We start from the raw sequence: 12,793 nt of genomic DNA, 5'->3' as shown, positions 1-12,793 counted from the left end.
TTTTTCTTAGCTTCTAGCCCATGCAGTATACTGGAAGCACGTGTCATTGCTGCAGTACCAGTCACTCTACACTGTCCTGCCCTGTACTGCACTTTAGGGCTTGTGCCCTGCTTCCTGCTGATAGAGTTTCTGGAAATGCTCTCTGGATACCAAGCACTTCCTGGGGTCAGGTCATTCCTTTGGAATAATGCACCCTGAAGATCTATGCCAGTATGCCAAGAGCCTGGGCCACGTGTGTGTGTACAGTGTATCAGTGGGGTGGTGTGTATGTCAGGTGATATGTGTGAGCCAGGAACATATCTTTCCCAAGGGGTAAAATATTGGGCTCACGGCGGTGTCTTGGAAGGAACTGAAACTCACAGCCAACTCAATATTGGTTTGAAGAGATCAGATCAAGAGAGGGCATGTGGCTTTGCAATGTAGAGGGGTCGAGTCTTATGTGGAGCAAGGAATGACATTCTGGAAGATGATTTTTCCAGCTGTGAGGGAGTGGACACACTTGAGTGGAGCATCCAGGGCTCCTGGCGTGCACAGGAAGAAGCCACATGCCACCTGGACTGGACATTCTGAGGATCACTTGCTGCCCAAGTCTCCATCACTGTGGGATCCATACCTACTGGGACACCATGATGGCTCTCTGGTGGCCTGTGATGACTTCTGGGGTCTTCAACCCTGCCCTTTGGATGTCTTGCTCTGACCACTGGGCCTTTTCCTCAACTCCCAGCCCATTCCAGAGGGCATGTTCCTTGCCCCTCATCCATGAGCTCGTCAGTGAACTGCACCACCCAACTCTGTCCTGAAAGAAGACATCCAAAGTCACAGGGTTTTTGAGAAACAGAGATTACTGTGGAAATAAATGTGAGACAACTACAAGACTGAAGAGGACATTTCATCTCCTTTGGGCTGACCCGAATTTATTGCTATTTTGCTTCATTTTTCCTTAGGTTTAGCCCAACTCCCTTTTTGCTTTGGACACTAGGTTGCATTTTCCTGGCTGGGAGATAGCTTGTGGAAGTCCCACCTTTCAAAGCATGTTTTGGTGGGTTTTCTTTGCCCATTTTTCTCAGCAACTAGATCAGCTGTTCCCAAAAATGTAAGCAAAAATGAACCATGCTTACCCCCCCGCCACCACTTGTTTGAATTTTAGTTTTTGATTCTGAGACTTCTGAAACATTTCCCAGCACAAGCTGATAGAGTGGGACAAAAAGTAACTGTTGAAACAAACGCAAAGGGCACTGCAGGCTCTCTCATCATCTCAGTTTACACAGAACAAGATACTGCTGTTTAAATACTTAGCTAAACTTTACTCCTTTTAAGGCTCCAAGCCAAACCTTATTTTTCCCTTTTCAAACAAATGGATTTACACCTAGGTGAGGAATGAGAGGAAAGGTGTTTCCTTTGGTTGTGTTAGGAGGAAAGGAGGTATCTTCATGTTGTTGCTTCCATATTTCCATGGTAGGACTTCTCTTTTAGACATTTGAATAGAAATTCAGTAGCCAGATTGGCTTCAATCATTCACCATCTGTGTCCTTAGGAAGAAGTGGATAATTAGACTGTGGTGTTACTTTAGTACTTCCTGTCTTGAACTGTATCCCCTATGAGGTACTGTACCCTGGCTGGCAGCAGATCAGGCACCCTGAGGTGGGTTAGGAACAAACTTCTTGTCCCTGTCAAGTGAGATCACTGATACTTGTTACTATGGGTAGAGAAGAAGAGTCATTTCATCAAAGTCATGCTAAGAAAATATTTACACTTTGATTTAACCTCAGTCTTCCATAGTGAATTAATCCTTGTGTTTTATTTATTTATTTATTTTTAACTTTCTTGAATTTACTAGAATTTATTGGTAGATCATCATAATATATAATATTCTAAACTTAAAGACTTAAAAATGTTAATCTGAGACTCTGCTTTGAGAAAGAAAATTAAATTCAAATCTACATGGATAAACTTTCTATGGACTCTACACAGTACAATGTTTATCCCAGCCTGAGGTTTTATCATCTAACATATATTTTTGGGGTCTTTATGTTGGAATAATGTAAGTCAGTTTTACCATTAGCTTGAGGAAAACTTAATTTCTATGGTAAATATGCTACAAAATCAGTGTAATACAATATCAGTACAAATACTTTGGAACTGTGCATATGAATCTTCCTATTTGAAGATTCTATGAATTGATTGAATATATTGGCTTGGTAAATTCTTTTGCACAAGAAATTTTAGAGTATTCTGTCGAAATAATCTATTATCCTCTGCTTGGATTTGTTTTATTATGTTCCCCCCTGTTCTTCCTTAATTCAGACATTAGTGTTGTTTATTTTCTTGTAACTAAAGATTAACTGGAGACAATAGATATTTCAGATTGGTATTTTTTCTTTGCCTCTTTCTCCTCTATACATTTATCTACTTATTCAGAAAGTTCTCAATCATATGAACAAAATGCTCAATTAGCCAATTAGAGGGAAAATTTATCTTCGTTGTTAGTGGTTTACCAAATTTATCCTTCAGAATCAGAAGCAAACTATATTCTCAGAGCTGCAAAAGTCACACATATGCCTCTAATCAAATTTGGATCTGGGTGGCAACATAACCTCTGGTTGAGAACAGCTATTTTAGATTGAGGAAAAATGACATGTCTTACCTGTCTCAGGTGAGGCATTCTTTTGAGCTGTAATACTGAAATAAAGAAGAGAGTTGAGCAGAGACCAGTAGAACTGCAGTGGATCCATGGTGATGTGTATGTAACATGACCAATAAATAAGTCACTGTTGTAATCCACTTAGATTTTTGGGGATTGTTTGTTATGAGGAATAACCTAGCAAAACCTGACTGACACAAGTAGTTGGCACAGGCCTGAGTCGCATGCTCTTTTCATCAGTCAGAAGGGAAGGTCAACACTGTAGAATTATGTGGTTAAGAATCGGGAAGGAAGGAGAAAGGCTTCTGGAATGGCAGAGTAAGGATCTCCTTAAATTTGCTTGTGGTAGGCAGTATAATGGCTCTCCAAAGTTGTCCATGTCCTGATCCATGGAAGCTTTAAATGTGTTACCTTACATGGCAAAAGGGACTTTGCAGATGGAGTTAAGGATCTTGAGGTAGGGAGACTATCCTGGAATACCAGGTGGGCTTAATGTAATCACAGGCTCATTTATATATGGAAGAGGGAGGCAGAGAATGAGAAGCAGAGAAGCAGATATGACAATGGAAGGAGAAGTTGGAGCAATGAGATTGCTGACTGGGAGGAAGGATGGGGCCCCAGCTGAGGAATGGAGGCAGCCTCTAGAAGCTGGGCAGGGCAAGCAACAGATCTCCCCTAGAGCCTCCAGAAGGAAGGCACCCCGCTGACATCTTGAATTTATCCCTGAAGACTCATTTCAGACTTTGCTCTCCAGGGCTCTGAGACGATGCATCTGTGTGGTGTGAAGCCACTGCAGCTGTAGTCATTTGCTACAGCAGCAACAGGAAGCTAATACACCATTCCTCCATAAAAGCAAGAAAAATTCTAGCAACATTATAAAAATCTACTTTTTCAGAACTCTGGAAATTAACCACAGGCTTGCAACAATCTAAGAAGCATTTCTTAAAGAAAAGCAGCTGCTTCTCAGTTAAAATAGCAAAGTTTGTGGTGTTTCAATACGGCCTGCTCCCGTAAGTCTCTCAAGTTCTGTAGTGTTTTTGAAACCACAGTTGCTGTCGAAACTAGCAGCCTCGAAGCTCCCAAAGGAAGCATGACAGGAGTTGCAATGCCTCAAAAAGCCCCAACTCCACTATTTGACCTGCCTTACCGCTCTCTGAAAACTCCCTTAACAGGTGGTAGTTGTTATTTGACCTGACTCACAGCTCACTCTGCAGAAATAGCTCTGTTTCCAGGGCATTTGTTGAAAACAATCAGCTGTAATTGTTTAACATCATAGTTGCTGGATACCATTTGGCACAAAAAGAACTTGGCCAAAAATCTGAAGGGAAGATCTGGGGAACGAGCTGTCCATAGGGGGCGCTGAAAAGCTCTGATACATTCTTGGTAATCTACACCGCCATAAGCATGTCCAGGGCCATGTGCATGCCTAGCAAAGGTCGGAAAGGGCCCCAGATTTCACCTCTGAATGGCCTAGAAAGCTATAAACCAATATCCTTCATGAATATAAATGCAAAAATCCTCACTAAAATATTAGGAAACCAAGTCCAATGACACATAAAAAAGATTATATGCCCTGACCAAGTGAGGTTTGTCCCAGGAATTGAAAGTTGTTCTAACATCAAAAAGTCAGTTAAGATATTAATAGAATAAAGAGCAAAAACAAAAAAATATATGATAAATGCCGAAAAATCATTAAAAATTCAGCACTTATTCATGATAAAAACTCTTTAACAAACTTGGAATAAAAGAGAATTCTTTCTCAACCTGATAGAGGGCATTTATGCATTCTATGAGGCTAGTATTATCTTATAGCAAAGACCTACTGCTAACATCTTCCTTAATGGTCAAAGATGAATGCTTTTTCCCAAAGTTCAGAAACAAGACAAGGATGTCCATTTGTACCTCTTATTCATCATGGCACTGGATGTTCTAACAAGTACGATCAGGCAAGGAAAAAAAAAAAGACATGCTGATTGAAAAGAAGAAGTAAAACTGTCCTATTCACAGATGACATGATCCTATTAGAACTAATAGATAAATACAGCAAAGTCACAGGATATAATGTCAGTATAAAAAATCAATTGTATTCTATATACAAACAATGAATGACTCAAAAATGAAATCAAGGCCAGGTGCGGTTGCTCACGCCTGTAATCCCAGCACTTTGTGAGGCCGAGATGAGTGGATCACTTAAGGTCAGGAGTTCAAGACCAGCCTGGCCAATATGGTGAAACCCCGTCTCTACTAAAAATACAATAAAAAAATAGCTGGTGTGGTGGCTTATGCCTGTAATCCTAGCTACTCGGGAGGCTGAGGTGGGAGGATCACTTGAACCCAGAAGTTGGAGGTGGAAGTGAGCTGAGATTGCACCACTGCACTCCAGCCTGGGTGACAGAGCGAGACTCTGTCTCAAAAAAAAAAAAAAAAAAAAAAAAGAGGAATTAAGAATACAATTTAATTCACAATAGCATCCAAAGTAATAAAATATTTAGTATAAATTTAACGAAAGAAGTACAAGGTTTGTACTGAAAAATATGAAACTGTTGAGAGACATTAAAAAAGTTATAAATAAATGAAGAGACATTCCATGTTCATGGATTGGGAGATTCAATATTGTTAAAATGGACAGTTCTCCCCCAATTAATCTTTTCATTCAAGATTTCAGCAATTTTTTGCATAAATTGATAACATAATCTTAAATATATGGTAATGCAAAATACCTAGAAAAATCCAAACAATTTTGAAAAATAAGGTGGAAGACTTTCACTTCCCAACTTCAAAACTTCCTATAAAGCTACAATTATCCAGATGATAAGGTGGTGGCATACAGATAGACCTATAGATTAATGGAACAAAATTTAGAATGCAGAAATAAATTCCTATATTTATGGTAAATTGATTTTTGACAAAGGTTCCAACCCATTTATTTGAGGAAAAGGTGTTGGAACAATTTGATACTATGTGCAACAGATAAACTTAGACTCTCACTTGACACCACACACAAACATGAACTCAAAATGCATTATGGACTTAACTGTAGGAGCCAAAACAAGAAAACTTTGAAAAGCAAATACAGGGGAAAATCTTCAAGACTTTGATACAAGCAAAGATTTATTAGATACAACATCAATAGCATGATTTATTAAAAAAGCAATGGACAAATTAGGCCTCATCACCATTTAAAATCTTTTCACTTCAAAAGATACAATTAAGAAAATAAAGACAAGAAACAGACTTGAAGAAAATATTTATAGAACACATATCTGATATAGGACTTGTATGCATAATTTACAAAAACAAAACAACACACACACACACCCCTCTTAAAACTCAGTAAGAAAAAGACAACTTAATCCCAAAATGTTCAAAGATATGAAGAGACATTTCACCAAAGAAGTTGTATAAGTGACTAAGAAGTATATGAAAATATGCTCAACATCCTATAGTTATAGAAGAAATGTAAATTAAAAACCTTAACACATACCATTTCACACCTGCTAGAGTGACTATAATAAATAAGACACATAATAACAAATATTGACGAATGTGCAAAAATGGGAACTCTCTGACACTGCTCTTAAGAATGTGAAATGGAGCAGCCATTTTGGAAAACGGTTTGATAGTTCCTCGAAACTTATACATAAGACTACCATATGATTCTCTACTATTATACATATCTACCCAAGGGAAATAAAAATATGTGTTCACGAAAAGCTTGCACATGAATGTTCATGGCAGCATTATTTTTAATGGCCCCAAATTGGAAACAACCTAAATATCTGTTAACTAAGAGGAATGAACGATTGACACATACTCTATCATGGATGAACCTCAAAAACACATTAAAAGAAAGAAGCCAAACAGAAGAGACCATATATTAATCAATTCCATTTATGTGATATGTCTAGAAATGTCAAATTTATAGAGCCAGAAAGTGTATTAATAATTTGCATGAGGCTGGGAAAAGAATGGGTATTAACTGTCAATGGGCATGAAGGATAAAAATGTTCTAAAACTAATTCATGCTCATGGTTGTAACCACTCCACAAAGTTAGTAAAAATTATTGTGCTGTACACTTGAAATGGATACATTTTATGATATATAAAAATAAAGTTTAAAAAATGGGTGAGGAGTCATTTCTAGAAGAAATGTTGGGAATTTAGTATATGTTAGTCTTCTGTGTTTGGATTCAGATTTTGTAGGAAAATTTTTTGAAGTGCTGGTTGACTTATACTAGCTATTCTTTTTCTTTTTTTTTTGGAACAATTTTTTTTTCCTTATTCACTTCATTTAAGGGCAATTTTCACATTTAAATATAATAAGCAAATAATGTTATCTTCAATAATTCATTTTGATGTTTAAAAACTACCTGTTAAGGGTGAGAAAGCTATTTCAAATCTAGTTTCCCAATAAGGAAAATTTTTCTAGGCCAAAAATGTATTAGAATTTATTTGTAGAGGTGAGGAGTGTTTGATCAGGGCAAGGGTGACTGTTCCAGGAGAAGTCTGAAAATGCGTTGGTTTGGAGGAAATTGTCTCCCCTGCCTTCGGCCCCCCGGCCACTGCCATTCAGTCTGTGCTGGGATCATTGCATTTGTTGGTCACTGTCTTTCTTGTAACACTTTACTCTGTTGAAAGAGATTTCATTCAGTTCCCCTGAGACTACTTTTAGTATTAATTAAGAGATTACTCAATGTTTGGGACCTTAGGAATTTGCTTATTATTGTGTATATAGAATGCGGGATATTTCTAAAGGAGGCAAGCAAAGCATGGAATGGAAAAGCCTCCATTTCTGCATTAAAGTACCTGTAGTTTTTTCTATTCTTTAAAATTTTTATTGTTGTTTCTGTGAACACTTGAATTTACACACCTACCAATCTTTATCCATGTTTTAAACGTAAATCGCTAGAATTGCAAGGTCTAACTAGGAAGTATATTAATAAATTGTCCAAAAGGGCTTGACTAACACATGCTCTAATCCATAGTGATGGGAAGGCTCATTTTACACAACTTGAACTCAAAATTCTTTCAAAGGTTGGTTAAAAATTGAATCACATTTTACCTAGTCTTAAAATTTATAATTTATTTTTTAGGTATTTTAAAATTTTGACATATTTTCAAACTTACTGAAAAACTGCAGGAATTTTCTAAGCAACTTCTAGATATCTGTTATTTAAATTAATTAATTGTTTCCATCTCCTCCTATTTGTTTGGTCGTGATTTCTGTTTTACTCTCTGTCTCTTGGTACTTCTCTGGCAGAAATACCATAGAAATAGTGTGTTCCCCTCGGTGTAACAAATATCAGGGGGCATGTAATATCGGTTTGTCCTGATATTGGTGATGTTGATCACTTCATGTGAGGTCCGTCTGCTTTAATCACTGTAAAAGCACTAATTTTTCTTTTGTAAATTTCCTCTGAGTTGGGTAAACATCTTGTTCTTCATCAGACATCCATCCACCCACAAGGTTTAGCATCCATTGACCATTTTCTAACCCCATATCTATTGGTTTGCATTTTATAGTAGGTAGAGATTTCCTGTTACTTATTTCTGTATGGACTCATGGATTCCCTTTTTATTCAATGGGTTCATTTCATTACTATCATCATATCTTTTGAGGAGCAAATTTGAGAAGGGGCTTCTTCAAGCTCATAGCTCTGTCTCTAGTATGTCCCTGTCATTCTTTGAGAACCCCCTTTCCTTCTGGTGCAACAGGAAGTTCCAGATTCTCGATGTACTTTCCCTGTCTCAGCCCTGGAATCAACTTGTTCTTCAAGCAACCCTGGTGCCTTTTGTGAAGAAGGGGATTTAGAAGCCAAGACCTAAGTATTTAGGAGCTGTGGGTGTGTCATTGCTTTTAGCCTCTCAGCTGATAGTGCTAAGCTTGTATGTCCACACATGTCTGTCTTCCTTATCACCTCCCCTTGCCTCTGTGTCATTGTTTAGCTAGCCAGCTAGGCACTGAAAATGGTGAGTTAATACTGAACACCCAACTCCAGTCTAAGTCTCTGTGGCTCACTTCCCCACCAGTGAGGAATCCAGCCCCTGCTCTTCTCAGTGTGTTTACACATAAGCTCAACACCAGCATGCACAGAAAGTAGTTTCACGGTTGCTAAACAATATCACTGTAAGAAAAAAAAATCGACTGAGTTTAATGATTTATGTAGTTATTTTTTTGAGATAAAATTTACAGAGTGTAAAATACAAATTAAGTGTACAATTGCGTAAGTATTCACCAAGGCATACACTCACGTAAACACAACCTAGATCCTAGAAAACCTTTTTCCATTCAATATCCTTCCCCTGCCATTCAATATCCTCTGAATGAGTAGCAGCCACTTTTCTGATTTCTTTTTCACCAAAAATTACTGTTGCTCAATCTAGAGCTTCCTATTGGGAGAATCACAGGGGATGCGGGATTTTGATCCAGTTCCTTTTGCTTAACACAATGTATGTGAGATTCATCCATGTTATTATATGTGCTTATAGTTCATTTCTTGTTATTACTGAATAATATTCCATCATGGAAATATACCGCAATCGTTTAACCATTCCCTTGATAAACATTTGTGTTGTTTTCCACTTTTTAGCTAACGTGAATGAAACTACCATAAACTATATTTAAGGTTGGTGCAATTACTTTGGTAATTGTATCTTTAGTTTTAAGAGAGATTATCAGACTGCTTTCCAAAGTGTTAGTACCATTTTACACTCTCACTAACAATATATGAGAGTTCCCATTTTCCCACATTCTCACCAACATTTAGTGCTGACAGACTTTTTCATGCTACTCATAATAGTGAGTGTTTAGTGGTATCACATTTTAGTTTTAATTTGTATTTCCGTAGTCACTAATGATTTTGAACAATTTTCACCTTTTTATTATCCATTCATGTATATTCTTTTGTGGCTTATTTATTCAAGTATTTTGCTCATTTTTCTTGAGTTGTTTGTTTTTTACTATTCAGTTGTACAAGACATTTGTGTGTTCTGGAGACAAATACATCATCAGATATTTGTTTTTAAAACCTTTTCTTCCAGTCTGTGGCTTGCCTATTCATTTCTTTTTTTTAACTTTTATTTTAGGTTCATGGGTACATGTGCAGGTTTGACACAAGTGTAAACTTGTGTCAGGGGTTTGTTGTACAGATTATTTCATCACCCAGATACTAAGCCTAGTAACCAATAGTTACTTTTTCTGATCCCCTCCCTCCTCCCACCCTCTACCCTCAAGCAGGTCCTAGTGTCTATGGTTCCTCTCTTTGTATTCATGAGTTCTTATCATTTAGCTCCCACTTGTAAGTGAGAAACGTGGTATTTGGTTTTATGTTTCTGTGTTAGTTTGCTAAGGATGATGGCCTCCAGCTCCATCTGTGTTCCTGCAAAGGACATGATCTCGTTCGTTTTTATGGCTGCACAGTGTTCCACGGTGTATATGTACCACATTTTCTTTATTCAGTCTACCATTGATGGGCATTTAGGTTGATTCCATGTCTTAGCTATTGTGACCTATTCATTTGTTAATGGTAACTTTGATGAGCAGAAGTTTTTGATATTACTGAAGGCTAATTTATCTCAATTCTCCTATATAGTTACCAATTTCTAATGTCGTCTGTAAGAATTCTTTTCCTTTTTCCAAATCTTGAACATATTTTCCTCTGTTTTTATGTAGAACCTTTGTAGTATTATCTTTTATGGTTAGATGTGCTACTTCTCAAATTTCTTTTTGTGTATAGTATAAGGTAGGGGTCAAAGATCTTTAGTTTTTCATATGTATATTCAATTTTTGAAGAATGGTTTGTTAAAAAAAACTTCCCTTTTCCCCCTTTAGTTCAACTGATGTCTTTTTCCAAAATTGTTTGATCATATAAGTATGGGTTTATTTCTCCAATCTTTATTTTAAATAACCTTTCTTTCTTTTTTATGTCAATACCACATTTTCTTGATTACTGTAGCTTTATAATAATATTTGAGGTCAGACAGTGCGAGACTTCCAACATTGTTCTTCTTTTTTTCAAGATTTTTATGACTATTCTAGGTCCTTAGAATTCCTATGTTCATTTTAGGATCAGTTTGTTAATTTCTGTGAAAAAGCATGCTAAGATTATGACTAGGAATGAACTGAATCTATATATCAATTTGTGGAACTTGATATCTTAGCAATATTGAGTATTCAAATTTATGAATGCTACTTATCTATACTTTTATGTATTTCTGGATTTAATTTGCTCATATTTTGTTAATTTTGTGTCTATGTTCATAGAGATATTGATCTATAATTTTAAAATAATGTCTTTGTAAAGTTTTGATATAATTTGCTTGGCCTCATAAAATGCATTGGAAAATAATTCTTCCTCTTGTATTTATGAAAGGGCTTATGTAAAACTGGTATAATTTTTTTTCTCAAATGTTTGATAGATTCATTTATAAAATGATCTGAGCTTGAAATTTTCTTCATGGGTAGTTTCTGATAATGAATTAAATTTCTATAATACATACATGGCTAGTCAAGGATTTTGTTCACTTCATCTAGGTTATTGAATTTATTGGCAAAAAAATTTTTTTAAGTCTTGAGACTTAAAAAAATATACTTTATATTTTAGAGCAGTATTAGGTTCATAGCCAAATTGAATGGGATGTAGAGAGAGAATTCCCATACATTCCTTGCTCATCCCCACTCATAGATTTCTCCCACTATCATTGGTTATAATTTGTAACATTTGTTACAGGTGATGAACCTACATTGATACATTGACACATCATTATCACTGGAAGTCCATAGTTCACATCAGGCTTCACTCTTGGTGATGGACATTCCAGAGGCTTTGAGCATGAAGTTTTAAAATATTTCCTCATTATGCTTTCAGTTGTGTAGGATTTGCAGTGATACCATTTCTATTATTTTTATATTAGTAATTTGTATTCTCCATCATTTTTCTTGATCAATTTTATTAATCTTTTCAAAGAACGAATGCTTGGCTTGATTAAATTTCTTGATTTTAAATGTCATTAATTTCCTTTTTTATATTTATTATTTCCTTCCTTCTATTTACTTTATTATTGATATGCTCTTCTTTTTATAGCTCCTTGATGTGAAAACTTAGGTCATTTATTTTAAGCCTTTCTTCTTTTTTATTTTTATTTTTATTTATTATTATTATTATTTTTTAATTTTATTATTATTATACTTTAAGTTTTAGGGTACCTGTGCACAATGTGCAGGTTTGTTACATATGTATACATGTGCCATGTTGGTGTGCTACACCCATTAACTCGTCATTTAGCATTAGGTATATCTCCTAATGCTATCCCTCCCCCCTCCCCCCACCACACAACAGTCTCTGGTGTGTGATGTTCCCCTTCCTGTGACCATGTGTTCTCATTGTTCAATTCCCATCTATGAGTGAGAACATGCAGTGTTTGGTTTTTTGTCCTTGCGATAGTTTGCTGAGAATGATCGTTTCCAGCTTCATCCATGTCCCTACAAAGGACATGAACTCATCATTTTTTATGGCTGCATAGTATTCCATGGTGTATATGTGCCACATTTTCCTAATCCAGTCTATTGTTGTTGGACATTTGGGTTGGTTCCAAGTCTTTGCTATTGTGAATAGTGCCGCAATAAACATACGTGTGCATGTGTCTTTATAGCAGCATGATTTATAGTCCTTTGGGTATATACCCAGTAATGGGATGGCTGGGTCAAATGGTATTTCTAGTTCTAGATCCCTGAGGAATCGCCACACCGAAGCACTTAAATCTATACATTTCCCTCTAAGCACTGCTTTAAACTCATCCAATAGTTTTTGATATTGTTAAATTATGTTTGGCTTAATGTTTCCTCTGTATATATTTGAGGTTCAGCATAAGAGTTTCTCTACGCATAGTGGGCTGTAACCCAATTTGATGAGTAAACAGACTGCAACCTGCTCTTGTAACAAGGAGCTGAGTGCCAGCCAATCACAGAAGTGAACTTCAGCCAACCACAGGCAGCCAACTGTTCCACCCAGGTTTAGAGAAGGCGGGTGCCCTGCCAGCCAGTCACAGAAGTGAATGTCAGCCAACCACAGGCAGCCTATTGTTCCACCCAGGTTCAGAGAAGTTGGGCACCCAACTGCAACCAGTCCTGCTGTTCCTGCATCCCATTTTTGT

The 12,793-nt window shown here is 36.7% G+C and overlaps 1 long non-coding RNA gene across 1 annotated transcript in view; it reads left to right on the top strand.

The window, feature by feature from the left end:
* Positions 1-12,793, top strand: part of LOC105372211 (uncharacterized) — a 46,771-nt gene that overhangs the window by 14,670 nt on the left and 19,308 nt on the right. The window lies entirely within an intron of this gene.

Source organism: Homo sapiens, chromosome 18 (genome assembly GCF_000001405.40).
Source record: "Homo sapiens chromosome 18, GRCh38.p14 Primary Assembly".
Lineage (NCBI taxonomy): Eukaryota > Metazoa > Chordata > Mammalia > Primates > Hominidae > Homo > Homo sapiens.
The sequence above is the reverse complement of the archived record's forward strand: the minus strand, read 5'-3'. Positions and strand labels throughout refer to the sequence as shown.